The sequence below is a fragment of the Homo sapiens genome, chromosome 7 (assembly GCF_000001405.40).
Source record: "Homo sapiens chromosome 7, GRCh38.p14 Primary Assembly".
Classification (NCBI taxonomy): Eukaryota; Metazoa; Chordata; class Mammalia; order Primates; family Hominidae; genus Homo; species Homo sapiens.
The window spans coordinates 23423555-23448909 of record NC_000007.14 but is presented as its reverse complement, the minus strand read 5'-3'; the positions used below and the strand labels follow the sequence as shown (position 1 = coordinate 23448909).

General features: G+C 41.2%; 1 protein-coding gene across 7 annotated transcripts in view, besides 1 other annotated feature; it reads left to right on the top strand.

Annotated features, from left to right (window-relative positions):
- IGF2BP3 (insulin like growth factor 2 mRNA binding protein 3) overlaps positions 1-25355 on the top strand; it is a 160283-nt gene that overhangs the window by 21582 nt on the left and 113346 nt on the right. Inside the window, exon 1 of one of the 7 annotated variants that reach the window (XM_011515090.4) lies at positions 17607-17741. The exons of 5 other annotated variants lie outside the window; for them this stretch is intronic. In XM_011515090.4, the coding sequence (XP_011513392.1) occupies positions 17714-17741 (28 nt within the window). In that variant the 5' untranslated portion in view covers positions 17607-17713. Of the gene's footprint in view, positions 1-17606; positions 17742-25355 lie in introns of those variants that run through there. One more of the 7 variants, XM_011515093.3, reaches the window with a different exon arrangement.
- Positions 13093-13594: an enhancer, noted in NCBI's record as "H3K27ac hESC enhancer chr7:23474935-23475436 (GRCh37/hg19 assembly coordinates)". NCBI's record gives its function as "activates a minimal SCP1, AML or CMV promoter by ChIP-STARR-seq in naive H9 embryonic stem cells {active_cell/tissue: H9 hESC(naive)}" and the evidence as "EXISTENCE:reporter gene assay evidence [ECO:0000049][PMID:30033119]".

The following is a 25355-nucleotide window of genomic DNA, read 5'->3' as shown; positions in this document are numbered from 1 at the left end:
CTGTAATTCCAGAACTTTGGGAGGCCAAGGCGGGCAGATCACTTTAGGTCAGGAGATCGAGACCAGCTTGACCAACATGGTGAAACCCCATCTCTACTAAAAATACAAAAAAATTAGCCAGGTGTGGTGTTGTGGCCTGTGGTCCCAGCTCCTCAGGAGGCTGAGGCATGAGAATCGTTTGAACCCAGGAGGTGGAGGCTGCACTGAGCTGAGATCAGGTTACTGCACTCCAGCCTGGGTGATAGAACGAGACTCTGCCTCAAAAAAACAAACAAACAAACAAACAAACAAACAGCCTGGGCAACATAGTGAGACCCTCATCTCTACAAAAAATAAAAAATTAGCTGAGTGTGATGGTGCATGCCTGTAGTCCCAGCTACTTGGGAGGCTGAGGTGGGAAGATTGCTTGAGCCCAGTGAGCTGCAGTGAGCTGTGGTTGTGCTACGCCCTCCAGCCTGAGCAACAGAGTGAGATCCTGTCTCTAAAATGTATTTTTGAAAAGATAAGTGTTTAGAATAAACAGTTAAGGACTGCTGAAAACAAGTACACATGAGGAGGATGAAATGAATTTGGACATCTGGGCATCTATCGATACACTTAAGTTCTTCAAACTGAAATGAACCCTACATGTTGATACCAGGTCGTGCCTAAGGAAATGAATAGCATTTGTTTCCTTCTGTTATTCCTAAAACTTTAACAAAATCTAATAATGATTTCAGGACCCCATCAACATTTCTTCTGACAGTTTACATTTTGAGGCTGGAACCTTGTGGTCACTCACTGTATTTTTAAGGATGACCAAATGGAGAGTCCGGCCTCTGACATGTTTCAGACAGCTTTCCTTGCCCTGGGTAAATATTAGTTAAATGTAAAAAATAACTGGCTGACTTTTATCACTGGATAGGTTCTTGTCTTTTTTTATTTTTATTTTTTAGCCAGTCTTGCTCTGTCACTCAGGCTGGAGAGCAGTGCTGTGACCATGGCTCACTGCAACTCGAACTCCTGGACTCAAGGGATCCTCCCACCTCAGTCTCCTGAGTAGCCAAAACTACAGGCACACACCATCATGCCTGGCTAATTTTTAAATTTTATTTGTAGAAACAGGATCTCACTGTTTTGCCCAGGCTGGTCTCGAACTCCTGAGCTCAGGTAGATCTGCCTGCCAAATTCCAGCCTCCCCAAGTGCTGAGATTGCTGGTGTGAGTCCCTATGCCCAGCCTGTTTGGTCTCTTTTAATCTGGGACAGTTCCTTGGTCTTCATTTTTTTGTTGTTGTTGTTTTTTTCTGAGACAGAGTCTTGCTCTGTTGTCTAGGCTGGACTGCAGTGGTGGGATCTCGGCTGGCTGCAACCTCCGCACCCAGGTTCAAGCAATTCTCATTCCTCAGCCTCCCGAGTAGCTGGGATTACAGGCACACACCCCATGCCTGGCTAATTTTTTTGTATTTTTAGTAGAGACGGGATTTTACCATGTTGGCCAGGCTGGTGTCAGACTCCTGGCCCCAAGTGATCTACCTGCCTTGGCCTCCTAAGTGCTGGGATTACAGGCATGAGCGACCTGTAATCCTTCATTTGATTTAATGACTTTCCTGTTTTTGAGGAGTATAAGCTAGTTTTTTGTTTGTTTGTTTATTTTGTGGAATGCCCCTCAATGTGGGTTTATCTGATGTCTCCCATGGTTAGCATCAGGTGAGGCTGTGTGTGTGTGTGTCAGTCAGAGTCTTACTCTGTCGACCAGGCTGGAGTGCAGTGGCGCGATCTCGGCTCACTGCATCCTCTGCCTCCCGGGTTCAAGTGATTCTCCCTCAGCCTCCCAAGTAGCTGGGATTACAGGTGCCCGCCACTGCACTTGACTAATTTTTTGTATTTTTAGTAGAGATGAGGTTTCACCATGTTGGGCAGGCTGGGCTTGAACTCCTGACCTCAAGTGATCCTCCTGCCTCAGCCTCCGAAAGTGCTAGGATTACAGGCATGAGCCACCGTGCCTGGCACCAGGTGAGGCATTTTTGATGGAATTCCTCAGAAGTGATATTGCTTTCAGTGCACCTCATCTAGAGGCACATGGTGTTTGTTGATTTTTGTTTCAGTAGTGGTGGTAACTTTGACCAATTGGTTAAGTAGTGTCTGCCAGGCTTCTTCAGGGTAAAGTTACTATTTTTTCTTTTGTAATAAGAACTTTGTGGGGAGATATTTTGAGACAATGTAGAGATTCTGTCTCTCAATACTTTCACTAATTTTAGCATCCATTGATGATTCTTGTCAGCAACTGTCACTGCTACTATAGTGGCTGTCAAATAGTGGCTTTCTACTTCTCTTTATTTTTTCTACATTTATTATTTGTTTTTTATTTTGTTCAAGATGGAGTCTTGCTCTGTCGCCCAGGCAGCAGTGCAGTGGTGCGATCTCGGCTCACTGCCACCTCTGCCTCCTGGGTTCAAGTGATTCTCCTGCCTCCCGAATAGCTGGGATTTCAGGTGCCCGCCACCATGCCCAGCTAATTTTTTGTATTTTTAGTAGAGATGAGGTTTCACCATGTTGGCCAGGCTGGTCTCAAACTCCTGACTTCGGGTAATCCACCCACCTTGGTCTCCCAAAGTGCTGGGATTACATAAAGGTATGAGCCACCACACTGGGCATCTACATTTATTATTTGGAATAAACTTTACTTTCCCCAATTTACTTTGTTTATATTAATATTAGACTCATGGAATCTTATTGCATAGATTATAACATGTTACAGTTGTTATTTTGTTGCTCAGACTATGGAAGTGAGGTTTTTTAAAGGCAAGTGTATTAACGTGGTGGTATTCTGAAGGCAATGATTCAGCACAGAGGGAAAGATGATTATGACCATCTAATGTCCAAAGATTATGATCATCTAATTTCAAAGATGAAATCTTTGCTTGTGCTTCATTTTATTTTTTCTTTTAATTTGTTTTGTGCTTCATTTTAGACGAGCAGCTTTATACTTACTACAGACTTATCTACCTAAATGTAATAAATCTAATACTTTTCTGGGGATATCTTACAACTAGTGGAAATAAGGTCATTCTTCATATACATGATGCATTGCCTTAAATTCAGATACTGCCCTCTACTTAAACATAACTATTGTATGTTGTGTATGTCACTTATGGTAATTGTTAATCACCTGCAGGTTATTTTTTCCATACCAGTCTAACTTTAGCTCATGATCATGCATTTTTCCCCAGTCTCTGGCATTTTGATGTGCTATCTATAACAATATTGGTAAAGCATTGTTACACGCTTCTTCAGTGTTCCTATTTATTCTTAGGTCTCTTGATGAATAATGTACATACCGAAACAAATCTAATGGAATCTTAAGCTATTTTCTGTGTACAAAACACCCACAGGAACTAAGTAAAAGTAGTTTTACTTAGTCATACTAAGTAATACTCTATAGTGTATACGAAACACCCGTAGGAACTAAGTAATACTTAGTTACACTGTATACAAAACACCCACAGGAACTAAGTAAAAGCAGTTTTACTTAGTCATACTAAATAATACTCTATAGTGTATACGAAACACCCATAGGAACTAAGTAATACTTAGTTACACTGTATACAAAACACCCACAGGAACTAAGTAAAAGTAGTTTTCTCTAAATTAATTAAAAAGCTTGGAAGGTTTTAGAAAAACAGTGCACATGGCAAAATTTAAATGATACTTTATTTTTCTCCTTCCTCAAATGCAACTACTGTGCAGTTTATTGTGTTCCTTTAGGGAAAATTTACATGTATATGTGAGCATCTGTGAATGTATGCTTTTTTAGAAAAAATACGACTTAGCACCATACCTTACTGTTTTGTTTTATTTATTGTTGTTTTTTAGAGACAGGGTCTCACTCTGCCGCCCAGGCTGGAATGCAGTGGTATAATCATAGCTCAGTGCAGCCTCTAAATTCTGGATGGAAGTAATCCTTCCACCTTAGCTTCCTGAGGAGCTGAGACCACACCTGATTAATGGCTTTCTTTTTAAATTTTTAGTAGAGATGGGAACTCTATGTTGCTCAAACTGGTCACCAACTCCTGGCTTTGAGTGTTCCTCCTCCTTCGGCCTCAGATTGCTGGGATTACTGGCATGAGCCACCGAACCCAACTACCTCACTGTTTTAAAAAGCAATTTTTTTTTTTTTTTTTTTTTTTGAGACAGAGTCTTGCTCTGTCACCCAGGCTGGAGTGCAGTGTTGCAATCTGAGCCCACTGCACCCTCCACCTCCCAGGTTCAAGCGATTCTCGTGCCTCAGCCTCCCAAGTAGCTGGGATTACCAGCACTTACCACCATGCTCAGCTAATTTTCGTATTTTTTAGTAGAGATGGGGGTTTCACCATGATGGCCAGGATGGTCTTGAACTCCTGGCCTCAAGTGATCCATTTGCTTTGGCCTCCCAAAGTGCTGGGATTACAGGTGTGAGCCCCCGCACCTGACCTAAAAAGCAATTTTAAAGGTTCTTTGGAAGGTGGGATAGGGAATAATTGCAGTAAAGTGATATGTTAAATACTATTAAAGTAGTGGACTTGATTTAGGAGTAAAGTATATTCACCCATATGTAGGTCAATAATACATTATAACCTATTTAAACATCTTGTCATTAATAGGATATTAATAATATCTTAGGTTTCATTATTGTACTTGTTAAAGATTTTTCTGATATTCAGGAAACTCCAGCATGTGGTTTACCCCAATTATGATGGAAAGAAGAAATGTGTTGTGCAATGTTTAACCAAAAATAAAAAAAGAACAAAACCCCCAAACCTCTGAAAACCTCAGAGCAGTCTTTTTAAATAGCATATGCACAACACATTGTATTAACTGGAACTTGTTCAGTGCTCTAAATTTAATTCTAATGGTGTTTTTTTTGTTTTGTATTTTGTTTTTTGAGACGAAGTCTCCCTCTGTTTCCCAGGCAGAAGTGCAGTGGCGCGATCTCAGCTCACTGCATCCTCCGCCTCCTGGGTTCAAGCGATTCTCCTGCCTCAGCCTCCTGAGTAGCTGGGATTACAGGCGTGTGCCACCATGCCTGGCTAATTTTCTGTATTTTTAGTAGAGACGGGGTTTCACCGTGTTAGCCAGGATGGTCTCAATCTCCTGACCTCGTGATCCACCCTCCTTGGCCTCCCAAAGTGCTGAGATTATAGGCATGAGCCACTGTGCCCAGCCCAGAAAATCTTGTATATTTTATTTTTTATTTTTGCTTATTATTATTATTATTTTTGAGATGGAATCTCACTCTGTAGCCCAGGCTGGAATGTGCAGTGGTGTGATCTCAGCTCACTGCAACCTCTGCCTTCCAGGTTCAAGAGATTCCCCTGCCTCAGCCTCCCATCCCAAGTAGCTGGGATTACAGGTGCATGCCACCACACCTGGCTAATTTTTGTGTTTTCAGTAGAGATGGGGTTTCCCAATGTTGGCCAGGCTGGTCAGCATGGCGAAACCCCGTCTCTACTAAAATATACAAAAATAGGCCAGTCGCGGTGGCTCATGCCTGTAATCCCAGCACTTTGGGAGGCCGAGGCAGGTGAATCACCTGAGGTCGGGAGTTCGAGACCAGCCTGATCAACATGAAGAAACCCTGTCTCTACTAAAAATACAAAATTAGCTGGGAGTGGTGGCGCATGCCTGTAATCTCAGCTACTCTGGAGGCTGAGGCAGGAGAATCGCTTGAACCTGGGAGGCGGAGTTTACAGTGAGCCGAGATCGCACCACTGCACTGGGTGTGGTGTCACCAGCCTGGGTGACAGAGCAAGACACAGTCTCAAAAAAAAAAAAAAAAAAAAAAAAAAAATCACTGTAATGTTTAAATATGTAGATCTGATTGATACGGTTTACTTTTGGTTGTGGACGATTTGTGTTTCAGTATTAATATTTAACTTTTTCAAAATAAGTTTAATAACAGTATAATTTAAGATACTGAAATTTCACTAAACTGCTTCCAAATGGTTTGATTAAACATAAAATTCTAGTTACCTGGTTTTATGGTACATTTTAATTTGGTTTACATACTGCCACCATAAATCTCTGAATTTATCAAAGGACTAGATGGACATTTTAGTAAAATAACATCAAAACATGTAAAATGAATATTTATAAATTAAAATTGAAACTGTAACTCCTTAAAATCTAGAGATTGGTATATGCAAAGTCTGATTATAATATGTTATTTCTTGTTATTTTAAAAATGAAAAAAACAGACTGGGCTCGGTAGCTCAAGCCTGTAATCCCAGCCCTTTGGGAGGCTGAGGTGGGTGGGTCACCTGAGGTCAGGAGTTCGAGACCAGCCTGACCAACATGGCGAAACCCTGTCTCTACTGAAAATACAAAAATTAGCTGGGCGTGGTAGTGGGTGCCTGTAATCCCAGCTACTCCAGAGGCTGAGGCAGGAGGATTGCTTGAACCCGGGCGACGGTGGTTGCACTGAGCTCAGATCAGGCCACTGTACTCCAGCCTGGGTGACAGAGCAAGTCTCCATCTAAAAAAAACAAAACAAAAATGGAATGTTATTCTATGTTATTGACCTTGCATAAAACCTAAGATGACATTAATCCGTTACACAACTGATAAATCTGCCTTAAGGGATTACATTTTAATGTTGTTGATGTTTGCAGTTTGATTTCCATTGCTTACTTGAAATTTCATTTTCTTTCAACTTATGTTTTGAGCCCTGCCAATGACAACCATTATGCCTAGGTGCTAGGGAGACAGAAAAGCATTAATTTACAATTTTGAAAGAGAAAAATTAACTTTTTAAAAAAATTTTCTTGAGACAGAGTTTCACTCTTGTTGCCCAGGCTGGAGTGCAATGGCATGATCTTGGCTGACTGCAGCCTCTGCCTCCCAGGTTCAAGTGATTCTCATGCCTCAGCCTCCCGAGTAGGTGGGATTACAGGCATGCACCACCACACCCGGCTAATTTTTTTGTATTTTTAGTAGAGACGGGGTTTCTCCTTGTTGGCCAGGCTGGTCTCAAACTCACGACCTCAGGTGATCCGCCCGCCTCTGCCTCCCAAAGTGCTGGGATTAAAGGCATGAGCCACCCCGCCCAGCCAGAATAATTAACATTTTATAGTAATCTTATTCAATTTATAAACAGATTTATGTGAATGATACAAGTATAATATTTTTAACCACTGTCATAATTGGCAGTCACTTTAAATGCTTAGCTGGACTGAGTTTTCACACTCTCTGAGTAGGTAATTTGCAATTTCTGGTAGAGGTGGGAGCAGTTAAGGTTCTGCAAGTCTTTTTTTTTTTCCCTAAATCTACAGAATTTTAACATATGTGTCTTTTTTTTTTTTTTTTTTTTTTTTTTTTTTAAGAGATGGAGTCTCACTCTTGTCCCCAGGCTGGAGTGCAGTGGCACGATCTCAGCTCACTGCAACCTCGGCCTCCCGGGTTCAAGCGATTCTCCTGCCTCAGCCTCCCAAGTAGCTGGAACTACAGGCGTGCACCACCAAGCCCAGCTAATTTTTGTATTTTTAGTAGAGATGGGGTTTCACCATGTTGGCCAGGATGGTCTCGATCTCTTGACCTCATGATCCGTCCACCTCGGCCTCCCAAAGTGCTGGGATTACAGGTGTGAACCACCGTGCCTGGTCTTAACATATGTGTCTTTATTTTTTGCAGAGATGTGATCTCACTATATTGCCCAGGCTGGTCTTGAACTCCTGGCCTCAAGCGATCCTTCCACCTTAAGATGTGTGTCTTGTTAGAAGTAAATCAGATCTGGTGGTTTTGATGCTATTTATTCAGTCTCATAACTGTCATGACTCTGAATATATAGGCTCTTGAAATGGTAGACCAAAAAATACTTCAAGTATATTATTTGCTATTCTTTTCTGCTTGTAGGATTCTGCAACTAATTTTTAAGTTATTTATGTGTGTAAAGCCTTCCCAAGTCCCAGGATACCTAAAGTTGTAAACATAGGGGTAAATAACTATTTAAATGATGTCTGATAGATAAATCTATAGAGAAGGGATTCAGAATCCCAAATGCTTGCAACTGATATTGTATTCTTATGTTCAAGGTTTAATCGTCAGTAGAGTAGGCTTAAATTTGTTTATGTATATGATGTGGGACCTCTTAGAAAAAAGCTAAAACTTTGACTTAGGTCCTTCTATAGCCCTAGTAGAGCCTGCGTAAAAATAAAAATGACCTGATATGTGGACAGGTGGCTGGTGGTTAGGGGTTGTTGGAGTCCTGGTGTGCCGCTCCCCCAATAGACAGTATGTCGGGATAGCTTATGTTTGCACTTGATTCTACTAGTCTGTTTCAGGCAGTTGTTAAAGTACTTGGCTGTGTAACACATTCTTAAAGCTTACGCATTTCCAAAACACTGATTTCAACATTTTTACAAGGTGTTAAGGCCCATCCCACTAAAGTGTAATACCCTATACAGATTGTTAATAACAGATTTAGTTTATGATGATTTTTCAAATTATAAAGCTTTGTTTTGAAACAGAGTCTCTCTCTGTTGCCCAGGCTGGAGTGCAGTGGCACGATCTCGGCTCACTGCAACCTCTGCCTCCTGGGTTGAAGTGATTCTCCTGTCTTGGCCTCTGCAGTAACTGGGATTAAGGGCACGTGCCACCATGCCCAGCTAATTTTTTTTTTTTTTTTTGAAATAACTAAACAATTTCTGCTCTGTTGTCCAGGCTGGAGTGCAGTGGCACGATCTTGGCTCACTGCAACCTCTGCCTCCTGGGTTCCAGTGATTCTCCTGCCTCAGCCTCCCGAGTAGCTGGGACTGCAGGCGCGTGCCACCACACCCAGCTAATTTTTTGTATTTTTAGTAGAGACGGGGTTTCACCGTATTAGCCAGGATGGTCTCGATCTCCTGACCTCGTGATCTGCCCACCTCGGCCTCCCAAAGTGCTGTGATTACAGGTGTGAGCCACCTCCCTCAACTAATTGTAAAGCTTTCAAAAAAGAGATAGAAGGTTTGGCAGAGAGGAAAGGGCCATTGTAAATTTTTGTGGTTCTGTTACAGAGAAAGCCCGAGGGCAGGTAGATGTGCTCTAGGTACTGTTGAGTGTGAGTACTATGCAAAGGTGAGAGCCATTTGTTTCTATCTTTGGTGCTTGGTGCTCCCACCCACCTCAGTTTCTTTGTTTATGTTAAATGTTTTGACCAATTATATCAACACTGGAAAGGAGACCAAGAGTTTTTCTTCCTTTGAGAGACTTGTATCCTCTGTGAGATTGGTTGGTTACGTGTTAAACTCATAGGGGTAGTGTGTGTTGTGTAATCACACTGATTATAAGCATGATATCACAACCTACATTATCATAAGGGACAGAGTTTAAACATGTCTTTTTTTTTTTTTTTTTTTTTTTGAGACGGAGTCTCGTTGTCTCCCAGGCTGGAGTGCAGTGGCACGATCTTGGCTCACTGCAAGCTCCGCCCCCTACTCACGCCATTCTCCTGCCTCAGCCTCCCAAGTAGCTGGGACTACAGGCGCCCGCCACCACACCCGGCTAATTTTTTTTTTTTTGTATTTTTAGTAGGTGGGGTTTCACCGTGTTAGCCAGGATGGTCTTGAGATCTCCTGACTTCATGATCTGCCCACCTCGGCGTCCCAAAGTGCTGGGATTACAGGCGTGAGCCACCGTGCCCGGCCAAACATGTCACTTTTTATTTTATTTTTTATTTTGAGGCAAGGTCTCTGTCCCCAGCCCGGAGTGCAATGGTGGTATCATAGCTCATTGCAGCCTCAAACTCCTGGGCTTAAGGGATTCTTTTGCCTCAGCCTTCGAGTAGCTAGGGCTTACAGGTACATGTCACTGTGCCCAGCTAGTTTTAAAAATTTTTGTTGAGATGAGGTCTCACTTCGTTGCCCAGGCTGGTCTTTAGCTCCTGGACTGAAGTGATTCTACTTCAGCCTCCCAAAATGTTAGGATTACAGGTGTCAGCCACCATGCCTGGCCTATAAACATGTAACTTTTTAAATTGAAATTGAAAAATATGTAACATTTTTAACAACTATAATGGTGGAAAGTAGAATCGTTAAATTTTTTTTAGCATCTCAGTCTTATGAGTTTATTAAGTAGATTTTACATTATTGCTACTGGAAATCTGTCATCTTTTCTGAGAAAGTAATTTAACTGGAAGTGTGACATAGTTACTGAAGTTTTAAAGGACCACAACTAGGGTTATTATAACTAAATTTATTTAACTAAATTTTTAAAGATTATTTTATCAGCCTAACAACCATTATAAGCGTGTGGGGTCCTTGAAATGACTTCCCAGTAGAAAGGAATTAAAAAATTTTTTAAAAATAGAGTCGGTCTCACTGTGTTGCCCAGGCTGGTCAAAGGGAACTTCTTGAAACATCATATGCATTGGATCTTTTGTCAGTTAGTGTACTTATTTGTCTCATTTACCTTAGATGGTGACTGAGGTTGGATATTTGCCTTGAAATGATCTATGTTGATGTGACCTTGAGTCTTCTTTATAAAATTTGTATGTGGCCCAGTGTAGTGGCTTGGTGGTTCATGCCTGTAATTCCAGCACTTTGGGAATGCCAAGGGGGGCAGATTACTTAAGCTCAGGAATTCAAGACCAGCCTGGCTAACATGGAGAAACCTCGTCTTTACGAAAAATACAAAAATTAGCCAGGCATGGTGGTGGGTGCCTGTAATCTCTTGGGAGACTGAGACAGGAGAATTACTTGAACCTGGGAGGTGGAGGTTGCAGTGAGCCGAGATCGTGGCACTGCACTTCAGCCTGGGCAACAGAGTGAGACTCCGTCTCAAAAAAATTAAAATTTGAAAGTAAGTTCGATAATTTCTAGTGTTTCCTCCAGGAGATTGGGATTCATGTTGTTATTATATTGAACAATTTTCCTGAATATCTGTGTAAGTGAGTTTTATTTACACAGAAGCCAAATAGTATTCATCTAAGATAAAGGTAGACGTAGCATGGACATTGGGAGGTATGAGTTTGAATTTGGCTTTTCGTTGACTTGCGTTTTGACTTTGGTTAAAATAATCCTTTGAGGCTGTTTCCTTAATCTGTAAAATGGGAGTCTTAAATTGACCTCACTTGTTTGGTGTAAGGGTACAGTGGAAATGTATTTCAAGTACTTGGTATGGCTTTACCCATAAGGAGTCACTGAATAGTTTTTTACTTTTGTTCTCAATATTGGTGAAATCTTAAAGTTTGTTGTTAAATTGCAGTTGTGGCAGAAATAATCTGGAAATGATTAAGCTTCCTATATGTTAATGACTTTGTTTTGCTGGCTAGAAGATGTAACTTTTCATGTACAGCAGCTTTTTTGCTTCTATCAGAATTGGCATAAATATGAATTGTGCAGAATTGTCTTAATGTAACAAAGGATTTCATTTAAGTGGACAGTCCAGATTGTTTTATTTATTTATTTATTTATTTATTTATTTATTTATTTTTGAAATGAAGTCTCGCTCTTGTCCCCCAGGCTGGAATGCAATGGTGCCATCTCGGCTCACTGCAACCTCCGCCTCCTGGGTTTAAGCGATTCTCCTGCCTCAGCCCCCTAAGTAGCTGGGATTACAGGTGCCTGCCACCATGCCTGGCTACTTTTGGTGTTTTTAGTAGAGATGGGGGTTTCACCATGTGGGCCAGACTGGTCTTGAACTGCTGACCTTAGGTGATCCACCCACCTCAGCCTCCCAAAGTGCTGAGATTACAGGCATGAGCCACCATGCCTGGCCGATAATTTTATTAATATACATTAAGTTATAGAACAAAGTTTAAAAAGTATCCTATATTTGCTTTTTTGTTTTGTTTTTTTTGAGACAGGGTCTGACTCTATCGCCCAGGCTGGAGTGCAGTCGCACGATCTCAGCTCACTGCAGCATCTGCCTCCAGGGTTCAAGCAATTCTCCTGCCTCAGCTTCCTAAATAGCTGGGACTACAGGCGCACACCACCACCATGCCTGGCTAATTTTTGTATTTTTAGTAGAGACAGGGTTTCACCCAGTTGGCCAGGCTGGTCTTGAACTGCTGACCTCAGGTAATCCACCCGCCTTGGCCTCCCAAAGTGCTAGGATTACAGGTGTGAGCCACCGGGCCCAGCCAATATCCTATATTTGAAGTTATACTATAGTTACTGCAGCAAAATAAATCCAAATGTACTTTCCTAGGCAAAGGAAGGACATCTAACACTGTCTAATGTAACAATCTTAGAAAATTCTAGTTTTTTTGTGGTATAGGAAATACTAATATCATCTCAGGTTATGTGCATGGAAAGTATTTAACATCTCTTTACTACCAGATAGTCATGTAAAGTTAAATTATATTTTTCTCTTAAAAATTCCTTCTTCTGGGTACTAACAAGCCCAGAGTTTGATTTTAATGGAATTTAACATTTGTGTCGATGGTGACTTCTAGATTTAAGAGAGTAGGGAAAAACAGTGGAAATTTTAAAAGTACCACAGAGGAGATAATGGTATAATAAATCCTCCTATACTGATCACCTAGCTTCAAGAATCACCAAATGATGACTGGCTTTGATTCATCTCTGTGCCTCAATGCCACACCTCCCCAAATTATTTCAAAACAAATTGAAGACAGCAAGCTTTTTACATTCCTAATTCTTCAGCATGTATCTCTAAAAGACAGACTTTTAAAAAGCATAGACATTATCATTACATATTAAAAAACATGACACTAACTCACTGGTATTAAATATTCCAATTTTCCTGATTAGTTTTTTCCATTGTATTTGAATTGGGATTTAAATAAGTTTCTTCCATTATGATTGGTTAATAGGTCTTAAGTTTGTTTTACTTAATGTCAAGGATTCCCTCCTCCTTTTTTCACTTTGAAATTTATTTGTTAAAAAATTTAGATGTTGGCCGGGCATGTGGCTCATGCCTGTTCTCCCAGTACTTTGGGAGGCCGAGGCAGGTGGATCACTTGCGGTCAGGAATTCCAGACCAGCCTGGCCAACATGGTAAAACCCCGTCTCTACTAAAAATACAGTATTAGCCAGGCATGGTGGCACACGCCTGTAATTCCAATGACTCAGGAGGCTGAGGCACAAGAATCACTTGAACCTGGGAAGTGGAGGTTGCAGTGACCTGAGATTGCACCACTGCCCTCCAGCCTGGGCTGCAGAGCGAGACTGTCTCAAAAAACAAACAAAGACAAAAAGGCCAGGCACAGTGGCTCACGCCTGTAATCCCAGCACTTTGGGAGGCCGAGGTGGGTGGATCATGAGGTCAGGAGATCGAGACCATCCTGGCCAACATGGTGAAACCTCATCTTTACTAAAAATACAAAAAAATTAGCCGGGCGTGGTGGTGGGCGCCTGTAATCCCAGCTACTCGGGAGGCTGAAGCAGGAGAATCGCTTGAACCCAGGAGGCGGAGGTTGTGGTGAGCTGTGAGATCATGCCCCTGCACTCCAGCCTGGGCGACAGAGCGAGACTCCGTCTCAAAGAAAAGAAAAAAAAAAAAACTTTAGATGTTTGTGCTGGAGAGTTTCCCAGGTCTGGATGTTGCTGACAGTGTTTCTGTGGTGTATTTTTATATGTAATTCTGTTCTCAGAAGACATGATAGGGCTAGAGACTTCATCATTTTCAGGATTTTTTTTTTTTTTTTTTTTTTTTTTTTTGAGACAGAGTCTTGCTCTGTCGCCTGGGCTGGAGTGCAATGGTGCGATCTTTGTTCACTGCAACCTCCGCCTCCCGGGTTCAAGCGATTCTCCTGCCTCAGCCTCCTGAGTAGCTGGGACTACACGTACCCGCCACCACACCTGGCTAATTTTTGTACTTTTAGTAGAGATGGGGTTTCACCATGTTAGCCAGGATGGTCTCATCTCCTGACCTCGTGATCCACCTGCCTCGGCCTCTCAAAGTGCTAGGATTACAGGCAGGAGCCACCACGCCTGGCCCATTTTCAGGATTTTTGTGTTTAATTGGCAAATATGTCATAGGTGAGAAAAGGGAAAATTTTAATACTTTGGCCAAGGTTTTATTCATTCAAGGAAATGATGGATTAATGTGACTGAGTTCAAATTTGGGAAAATACTGATGTAGTTGGGGAAGCATGTTGCACTTAAGTGAAAGTTTTTTTTTAACTTGTTTGTCCTTAAGTGTGGTAAACATACCTGTTCTATCTCACTAGAAGGAAAAAGAGCTTAGTAATCAGGAACAATTTGCTGCTATTGGAGACTGGTAACGTAGCATTGCATTTGCATTGTGTTTTCTGCTAGGAGAAGGGTTATCTACAAAGCCTAGTGAAATTATATCTTGGGAGAAAAGAAAGAGTTGAGTTACCTAGGATGAGGAATGTCAGGCAGAAATATTTAGATCAAACTTGTCAACCTTTTGTTTTGTTGATACATTGGAGTTCTCAGAGTGCGTGAAACTGAGAATTCTCATACTGAGTTTCTTGAACACAATTATTTGCTTATTTTCTTTGCCTACTTGTAGAAAACATTAAAAATGGAAATATAAACAAGTCTGGCTGTGTAAGTCTACCTCTGGGAAACAGTCTTCAAGCTTTGGGGTGGTGAGATTATTATAGTTTCTAAAGTTGATGAGAAGGTGGTATAATTTGATAATGATCAACTGCAACTTTCCCACGAACAAAAACAAACCCAAGGATCTGCCTTGTCTAAGAACCACATCCACTTAGCAGTAATACGAAATAAAAACTGTTAATGTAGACATACCCCGTATTCAAAATACAGTGGTTTTAAAAGTTTAGTAATCTTAAAACACCTCTTCTTGCAGGTACAGTTTTAGTGATGGTTACTTTTATGTGGAAAATACGTATTCCATATAAAACTTTTTCTTTTTTTTTTTTTTTTTAATTTTAATTTTTCCAGACAGAGTCTCACTCTGTCTCCCAGGCTGGAGTGCAGTGGCACAATCTTGTCTCACTGTAACCTCTGCCTTCCAGGTTTAAGCGATTCTCTTGCCCCAGCCTCCCAAGTAGCTGGGATTACAGGCACACGCCTCCGTGATGCCCGGCTAATTTTTGTATTTTTAGCAGAGATGGGCTTTCGCCATGTTGGCCAGACTGGTCTTGAACTCTTGATCTCAGATGATCCTCCCGCCTCGGCCTCCCAAAGTGCTGGGTTTATAGGCATAAGCCACTGTGCCCGGCCTAAAACTTTTTCTTGATTGTTCTTCAAATTCCCTTGACAAACAAATTAAATTTAATCAATTAGTTTTAGATAAGCTCTGTTCAATAGAAATACATGAACTAAATATATATGATTTTAACTTTTTAGTAGCCACATTAAGTAAAACAAAGGCCCAGTGTGGTGATGTGTGCCTGTATCCTAGCTGACTGGGAGGCTGAGGTGGGAGAATTGCTTGAGCCCAAGAGGTTGAGGCTGCAGTGAGCTATGGTCGTGCCACTACAGTTTGGGCGAGAGAGCAAAAACCCTGTCTCAAAAAAAAAAAAAAAATTAGTTATTATATACAACCTAATATATCTAAAATGTAACAGTATAATAAATTGTTGAGAAATTTTGCTTTTTTTGGTATTGAATCTTCAACATCTGTATGTATTTTATCCTTACAGAACGATTCAATTCAGACTAGCCACATTTCAAGTAGTTAGACACATGTGGCTAGTGGCTTCTTTATTGGACAGAGCAGCTTAAGATGTACGGTTTCTAAAAATCACTGTTTAAAAATATCTTGTTGCTGGGAAAAAAATATAATGATATTTATAAAACTAGTTTTAGCTATGGAAAAGTATGGGAATAATTAATTTTCAGTGCTACTCAAGCATGTTAGAGGTTTTATATCCAAGTTCTTTATTCCTTTCTTACCACTCTAATTTTTTAGGAAGATAAGTACAATTTACTATATTGTGTTAATATTAAGACTTTTGAAAGAGCTATGCTTTTAGGTCATACAGGCAGTGAGGCTTTTATTTAAATAGTAACTGTTCAACTGCGTGTGTTTCTGTGGTTGTAATACTGGTGGTGACTTTTTAGTTTAAAGGCACATATACAGGCTGGGCGCAGTGGCTCATGCCTGTAATCCTAGCAGTTTGGTAGGCCGAGGCAAGTGGATTGCTTGAGCCCAGGACCAGTCTGGGCAACGTGGTGAAACCACAGCTTATGAAAAATACAAAAATTAGCTGGGTGCGGTAGCGCATGCCTGTAGTCCCAGCTACTTGAGGGGCTGAGGCAGGAGGATCTCATGAACCTCGGAGGTTGAGGCTGCAATGGGCAGAGATCATGCCGTTTGCACTCCAGTCTGAGCAACAGAGCAAGACCCTCTCTCCACCAAAAAAAAAAAAAAATTAAAAAATGAAGCACATTTACTTAGTTAAAATCTCAGTATGAAGACTATAAAAATCTTTGGTTATTTAGGGATCAAGGATTAGTTTGTGCCCTGTTTTTTTTGTTTGTTTGTTTTTTTCCTGTTTGACATTCTACATTAAGATGTGCGTGCCCTTCTAGTAGTCACATTAAGAAGTAAAACAAAGGCCCAGTGTGATGATGTGTGCCTGTATCAATTGTCTTTCGAACAGTGTTAGGTTTTCCTAACTTGCACATGTCCTAAGGAAGTATAAAAACTTTGACTATGTTTCTTCAAGGAACATTTAATCTTCTAAAAGAAAGACATAGCAGTGTGTAAATGCAAGCAAACAATAGTAGTAAGAGAGTACGTAGAAAAACATTCAGTCTTTTTTGGACTCTTCTAGTGCATACTCATGGCGTCAGTCAAGTTTTCATCCATGCACGTCTGGCTGTCAGACTCTGTTCTACATAGATGGAGATAACGTGTGCAAATGTAAAAGATAAAATATACCTCTGTTTTAGTTAACGGGACTAAAACATAGCTGTTACCATGGAGATCTGGGAGCTGGGGATAATGGAAAAAACCATGTTTAGATTCTCACTTAGAACTGTGATGTAAAGAGACTTTGTTCCCTTGCTCATTGTTTAAGTAATATTGAATAATTGCCTGAGATGAGCTAAGCAATCTGTTAACCAGTGGAATGTGCAACAGTGAATAAAACAAGTAATTTTGCCTTTGAGACTCGCCCTGTTAACTATACCACAGTGGCCACCAATCCATAAGAGAGAGAGAGAATGTGTGTGTGTGGGTTGGCGGGGGAGGGGCCAAGTTCCCCTGCCCCACCCCCAGAAATTACGATTTAAGTCTGTTTTGGGGCCCTGGAATCTGCATTTTAGTTAGTCCCTTGTGGTGATTCTAACATAGGTGGTTCTCGGACCATAATTGAAGGACATCTCTTTATTTTACGGTGTAGGGGACCTTGTAATCTTTTTTTTTTCCCCCTTCCTTCCTCCTGTTCAGTTCACTAGAATCTGGCATTCTTTTTAACTGTTGCAGGAAGTATGCTTTTCTTTAGTGTACCTGTGACCCTCTGTTAATCCACTAGATGCAATGCCATCTTTCATAGGGATTTTTGACCTGGGTCTACCTGTGTTACTCCTAAGTTATGTTTCCTCCTTTCCACTTTTACAGATACTTATTTAAGACTGACCTAAAGTATCTAGTTTCTTCTGCTAAACTATAAAATCTATAGGAATTTTATAGGGGGATGGAGAACTGATGTCACAGAACTAGTTAGAACTGTTAGAATCTAGAATTGTTTTCCTCTTGGTTCATTCTGATATTATGCTGCTGGCTAGAAACAATAGCTTATTTTTCCCTCAACAACTAGTAAAGTTCATTTTATAAAACACAAAAGCTAGAAGAAATGGAAAACTGCAGATGATTCTACCAGCCAGTGCTCATCACGGTCAGTATCGTAATGCTCTCTCTTCCTTACTTCTGTTAATGTTCATGTGTATGTGTGTATGTACAGATATGTACATTTTGTTCCTGGTTGGAATGTTCTTTTTGTGATAAAACCACGTATTTTAAAATGAGATCATATTCCATGTTCTCTTTTAGTGATGCACTTTTTTCAGTGAACAGTGTCATAAGCGCATGTCTTCATTAAATATTCTTTCATATTTATAATATCTCCATGAGATTTCATTCTGTGTATTGTAATTGAATCCCTTTTTCCTGGACCTCTAAGTTCTTCCTAGTTCTCCCTATTTACAGACAGCTAAGCCTTTGAGCGTGTTACAACTTTACCTAAGGAAATGATGTAAGAAAGATAATTCTTGAGTTAGAGGATAAGACACTGCCAAGTCAGCAATGAGGCAGAGTTATGCCAGTTGACATATAGACCAGGAATGTAAGACTGATCATTTTCCCAAGTATTTGCTTGGAGTACAGTATTAAACTTCTTGAAAATTGAGGTTGACCTTTTAAAGAGCTGATTCTTAACTGTATAAACCAAGAAAGAATAGGTGTAATTACAGTATAGCCATATTGAAATTAGCCAGGCTGAATGAAGTCCTCTTTGGACATAGGTTTAGTTCGGCACAGCTGGAATGAAAATTTGCAGCCGGTACAGAGTGCCACCAAGTGGCGGGTTGGAAAGCCCATGCTAGACTGCTTTGAGCCATAAGGCTTGGCTTTTTACTTGAAAATACCAGTCCAAATCCGAACCTTGTGTTCCAGTTTTTTTGCATAAGAAATAAGGCAGCTGGGCGCGGTGGCTCCTGCCTGTAATCCCGCCGAGGCGGGCGGATCACGAGGTCAGGAGTTCGAGACCAGCCTGGCCAGCATGGTGAAACCCCGTCTCTACTAAAAATACAAAAAATTAACTGGGCATGGTGGCGCGCGCCTGTAATCCCAGCTACTGAGGAAGCTGAGGCAGGAGAATCGCTTGAACCCGGGAGGTGGAGGTTGCAGTGAGCCGAGATCGTGCCACTGCACTCCAGCCTGGGTGACAGCGAGATTCCATCTCAAAAAAAAAAAAAAAAAGAGGCAAAGAAGAACATGTTACAAGTTAGACTTGGTTTTCTCCTTCTGTCATCAGCTGGTGTTAGCAGCATTATGTCAGTATCTGTCTTATAAAGCAGGGAAGCAGTGATTCCCACTTGATTTGTATGTAAGCATTGGTAGAAGGAAGGGGCTGAGACAGAGCCTTTTCCAGAGGAATAAGTTAAAGGTGCATCCAGGACTTACAGGTAATTTGGATGAAAGGTTGCAGGTCTAATACAGTTTTGTGTCTTGCATTGGGACTTGACTTGATATGACTAGCTTCAGAAGTACCTGAGGTGCCTATGTATATAATCTTTGTAATGCTTGAGACAACTGAGTAGTTGTGTTTTCCTCATAGTTGCCTTTCCTCTCTTCCTTCTTTCTTGGTATTAATATGTAAGCTTGTCCACTTAATTTCAATATTGAGTCGCCATATGTAAGTTATTGTGGTTTAAAGCTAAGGTGTAAAGGGAAAATATTGCTTAGGATTAGCATATATTTTTATCTTTTGAATTTCATGTGCAATCTATACTTTTTTGTGAAGTTATTTGGTATGGTTATGCTGTTGGTTGGATTATAAGTGAAATCAGTAAGACCGACTAGAGTATGGTTAGGAGGATAGAATCTGTGGCCAGAATGCTCAAATACATATGCTGACCCTGCCACACAGTAGCTGTGTGTGTATTCAGACAAATTAAATTACTTCTGCCTTTGTTTCCTAATCTGTAAAATGCCAACTCTGAGGGTTAAATGAGAAAATAAACATAAAGCACTTTTTTGGGTTCTTATTTCTATCTTTTGTCAGATTTTTTAGTGGAAGAAAATATGCAAATATAAGAGACTTTCTGTGAAATTCCAGTCATCCAAAATCTGAGTTGGAAATAATCAGTATGAACCCATGGTTTATTTTCTTTCCAAGTGTATTTTCTAGCTCTGGCTTGGAAGCAATAACCAATCTAATGAGTGCCTCTAGTGACCAGATTGTAGTCTCTCTGTACTTTTTCTGACTAAAAGGGATCAAGGATCCATGCTGATAAGGCTGATTATAGATGGGGGCAAGAAACATACAAGCTAAACCTAGAATATCACGTCATAACAGAAAGCAGAAATGCTCACAAATATTATTGGAGTCACATCAAAAGATGAAGGAGCTAACATGAAGAAGCCGTTTTGCTGGCCAAAGATGGGACAATTTGAGCATCAAAAAAGATTGATACAAGCAAAATATGTATGACTCTGAATTAATAATGATACTGAAGGAATGAAATATTTGATTGTCTTTGGGCAATGTCAGGTCCCTAACATGTTATTCTGAAAAATTTGAAATAATATCTTTGGACTCCTTTTTTTTTTTTTCCCCCTAAAAAAAAGAAAAAAAGAAAAAGAGGCTTGCTCTGTTGCTGAGGCTGGAGTGCAGTAGCATAGTCATAGCTTACTGTAGCCTCTCAACTTCGTGGGCCCAAGCGGTTTTCCCACCTCAGCCTCCCAAGTAGCTGGGACTACAAGTATGTACCACCATACCCATTAATTTTTAAAAATATATATTATATATATATATTTTTTTTTTCTTTTATACAGCATCAAAGAGAAGCCAATAATATTTTTTTCTTTTTTTGAGACGGAGTCTCTCTCTGTCGCCCAGGCTGGAGTGCAGTGGTGCGATCTCAGCTCACTACAACCTCCGCCTCCCGAGTTCAAGCGATTCTCCTGCCTCAGCCTCCTGAGTAGCTGGGATTATAGGCGCATGCCACCATGCTCGGCTAATTTTTTGTACTTTTTAGTAGAGATGGGGTTTCACCGTGTTAGCCAGGATGTTCTCAATCTCCTGACCTCGTGATCTGCCTGCCTTGGCCTCCCAAAGTGCTGGGATTACAGGCATGAGCCATTGCTTCTGGCTTTTTTTGTTTTTTGAGATGGAGTCTCACTCTGTCTCTTAAGGCGGGAGTGCAGTGGCATGATCTTGGCTCACTGCAGCCTCCACCTCCTGGGTTCAAGTGATCCTCCTGCTTCAGCCTCCTAAGTAGCTGGGATTACAGGTGCGTGCCACCACACCCGGTTAATTATTTTATTTTATTTTTTTTGAGATGGTGTCTCGCCCTGTCACCCAGGCTGGAGTGCAGTGGTGCGATCTCAGCTCACTACAACCTCCGCCTCCTGGGTTCAAGCAATTCTCTGCCTCAGCCTCCTGAGTAGCTGGGATTACAGATGCCGGCCACCATGCCCAGCTAATTTTTTATATTTTTAGTAGAGATGGGATTTCACCATCTTGGCCAGGCTGGTCTTGAACTCCTGACCTCGTGAGCCACCCTCCTCAGCCTCCTGAAGTGCTGGGATTACAGGCGTGAGCCACTGTGCCTGGCCTAATTTTTCTATTTTTAGTAGAGATGGGGTTTCACCATGTTGGCCAGGCTGTTCTTGAACTCTGGACCTCAGGTGATCCACCCACCTCCGCCTTCCAAAGTGCTGGGATTACAGGCGTGAGCCATCACACCCAGCAAAATTTTTTAGTTTTTAATTTTTTTGTAGAGACGAGGTCTCGCTATATTGCCCTGGCATCAAGCGATCCTTCCACCTTGGTCTCCCAAAGTGCTGGGATTACAGATGTGAGCCACTGTGCCCAGCCTGGACTCCTCTTAAAGCAGAGATTGAAACAGGGATTTGCCAAAGTTGGTTTATTTTGGAGATGATTTCAAGAAGAAGTGAGGGAAGGGGAAGAATGAATTGGGGAGTGAGGAAAAGCCAATGATAGATACTTTATTGAGTTTCCTATAGGGAAACGGGACCTCCAAGAAATTCACGGAATGCCTCCCAGGTTTATCTATCTGAAAAATTGGAGCTTCCTGCCCGCACCCTCATACACCTATATTTATGCAAGTTCTTCTTAAGGATTTTGTCTGTCCAGTGTTTCTGGGCTGCTCCTGTACTCTAGAGACTTTGGAGAAAGCCCTGAGATAAAGAAGCAGCCTTGTGTAAGGTGTGTGCTTTTGGGTGGAAAGAAGCGAGACAACTGAAATGTGTGTGGGATTGATTGTCCACCACAGCGATGAGTCAGGTGATGTGATAAGGAGCACAAAACCATCTGCTGCAGAAGGGAAAGAATAAAGTATTTATCCTGTCTTTACTATACTTAGTATGCTTCAGAGCATCCAAATATTTGATGAGGGACACTTGTTCTTTATGGAATAACTCTGGCTAAAAAACACAGAAGGCATGATAGAATGAGAAAATCATGGTTTTCAACCTTGAATGAAATAGTGGGTTTAGGCAGTGATCACTAGTAGCTGCCAACATCATAGAAAGATATCAGAGGTAACAACTCCCATGGAAGTACAGAACACTCCCTATGGAATATTGCCTCTCTCAAATATGAAACAAGAGAAACCAAGTTGAGCCTTTGGATCTAACTACAACTTTATAGGGAACAGAGGAATGTATTAAACACTATTACAGGAGTGTCACTAGCAAACTCCAGGTAGTGAGAAACTCAAAGACAAATGACAGCATTTTAGGTTTTTGGTTTTTTATCCAAATAAGTTGCAAGAAAAAGGGTAACATTTAGGTTATAAGACTAGAGTCATAAGCAAATGCCACATATGGATCTTATCTGAATACTGATTTGAACATACCAGTTGTTAAGAAAGATATTTTTTAATCAGGAAAATTTGAGTACTGACTAGATAGTATTAAGTTTTGCTCATTAAATTTTTTCCCCCCAACCATTTCTGGCAATTTTGGCCCCACCCCCCTTTTTTTTTTTTTTTTTTTTGAGACAGAATTTTGCTCTTACTGCCCAGGCTGGAGTGCAATGGCACGGTCTCAGCTTGCTGCAGCCTCTGAGTTCAAGCGATTCTCCTGCCTCAGCCTCCCAATTAGCTGGGATTACAGGCCTGTGCCACCATGCCTGGCTAATTTTTGTATTTTCAGTACAGATGGGTTTTCACGATGTTGGCCAGGCTGGTCTCAAACTCCTGACCTCAGGTGATCTGCCTGCCTTGGCCTCTGAAAATGCTGGGATTACAGGCGCGAGCCACTGCACCCAGACAATTTTGGTCATTTTTAAGGACTGCTGGCACCATTTTGTCTACTTTTTAAAAGTCAGGGTTTTTTTGTTTGTTTTTTTTGAGATAGGATCTCACCCTGTTGCCCAGGCTGGAGTGCAGTGGTACCACCACCACTCACTGCAGCCTCGACCTCCCTAGGGCTCAGTTGATCCTCCTGCCTCAGCCTCCCGAGTAGCTGGGACTACAAGCATGCACCACTATGCCAGGCTAAAAAAGTCAGTTTTAGCAGATAACTGTTGTAAATCAAAGCATGAGAATAAAAAATTAGGGGTGATAATTATATTCTGGGAGGAGGAGGGTTGGGGGAGAAGCATGCAATTATCTTCAATTATCTTCTAATTATTGGAGGTGGGTTCATAGATGTCTTATATATATAAACAAATTATACATTATTGAGGCCAAGGCAGGAGGATTGCTTGAGGCCAGGAGTTCCAGACCAGCCTGGGGAATGTAGTGAGACCCCATCTCTACAAAAAATTTAGCTGGGCATGGTAGCATATGCCTGTGGTCCCAGCTACTCAGAAGGCTGTGATGGTAGGATCACTTGAGTCCCAGAGGTTTGAGTCTGCAGTGAGGTGATTGTACCACTGCTCTCCAGTCTGGGCAATAGAGCAAGATCCTATCTCTTAGAAAAAATACATTATTATATATCTAATTCTATGTAGTAAACAATTATTAAAATGATACAAAGGGGGTTGCAGTGAGTAAAATCCAGAATGAGTAATCATGTAGTATTTTATGACTTTGGACCACTACATAAATGTGAAGAAAACAGTGAGGGGAAACTCTTGTATTAAATAGACCTAAGATTATATATCAGCATATCAACTGTATGCATATGTATATCTTGTTGGCATCTTGATACGAACAAACCTCATGTAAAAAGATAGTTATTAGCAATTGGAAATAAACACTTAGTGGATATCTAATAATGAGGAATTTTTGCTAATCACTTCTAGGAGCAGTAATGCTGTTGTGGTTATGTTGAAATAAAGCTCCTTATTTTTCATTGTTGTTTACTGGAGTAGTTCAGCATGGCATGCTACGTAAGGGGGACTTGGTACAGGTGTGGGTATAGAATAAACAAGATCAGATTATCATACTCGTTAATTGAAACAGGTGATGGGTATTTGGAGGCTCACTTTCTCTAATTGGTGACAATTTGAACATTTCTATAAAATCAACTTAAATCAGTTTCATCGATTACTAAACATCTTGAAGATGCCCTTCAGAGTCTACATGAGCTGCTCTATTGGCTCTTAAAAATTAATTTTAATTTTGATTTTTTTGTAGATAGGCAGGGCCGGTGTGGGGGGTCTCATTTTGTTGCCCAGGGTTGTCTGGAACTCCTGGTTTCAGGCAGTTCTCCCAAAGTGCTGGGTTTACAGGCATGAGCTACCCTGCCGGGCCTATCATTGACTCTTTCTTTTGTGATTAAACATGCTTTTAATAAATAATGATTGAATTTTCATAGTAACTAATATTTCTAGCAGAGTGGGCAGTTTTTAAATTGTTTATTTTTATTTTTTGAGATGGAGTCTTGCTTTGTCGCCCAGGCTAGAGTGCAGTGGTGCGATCTCGGCTCACTGCAATGTCCGCCTCCTGGTTCAGGCGATTCTCCTGCCTCAGCCTCCCGAGTAGCTGAGATTACAGGTGCCTGCCACTACGCCCAGCTAATTTTTGTATTTTTAGTAGAGACGGGGTTTCACCATCTTGGCCAAGCTGGTCTTGAACTCCTGACCTAATGATTCCCCCGACCTCAGCCTCCCAAAGTGCTGGGATTACAGGCTTGAGCCACTGCGCCTGGCCTTTAAATTTTTAATCTATTAGCCTGAGAACTAAAATTTACCGTATTTCCCCTCTGGTGGGGAACCCTTAAACTGTGTTGAAAAAAAAATTTTTTTGTTTGAGATGGAGTCTCACTCTGTCGCCTAGGCTGGAGTGCAGTGGTGCAGTCTTGGCTAACTGCAACCTCCGTCTCCCGGGTTCAAGCAATTCTGCTGCCTCAGCCTCCTGAGTAGCTGGGATTGCAGGCGCATACCACCATGCCCAGCTAATTTTTATGTTTTTAGTAGAGACGAGGTTTCACCATGTTGATCAGGCTGGTCTCGAACTTCTGACCTCGTGATCTGCCTGCCTCGGCCTCCCAAAGTGCTGGGATTACAGGCTTAAGCCACTGTGCCTGGCCTGAATTTTTAAAATTAATGCAAATGCTTAAATAATTCAATATTTTGGGGTTTTTGTTTTTTTTTTCCATTCTCAAAAATGTGTGGCAGTTGTTTTTCTCGGTCCCTTTATAAGCTATAAGGAAATCATTTGAAATGTTAGTTTCTGGATAGTGGTTCTGTGAGTCTTTCCCCCCCTCCACCATATAGTGTAACATTTTAACTATCAATTGAATGCTTATCAGATGCCAAGCACTGTTCAGGCTCTGAATGCAGCAACAAACAAGATAACCTAATTAGTCCCTG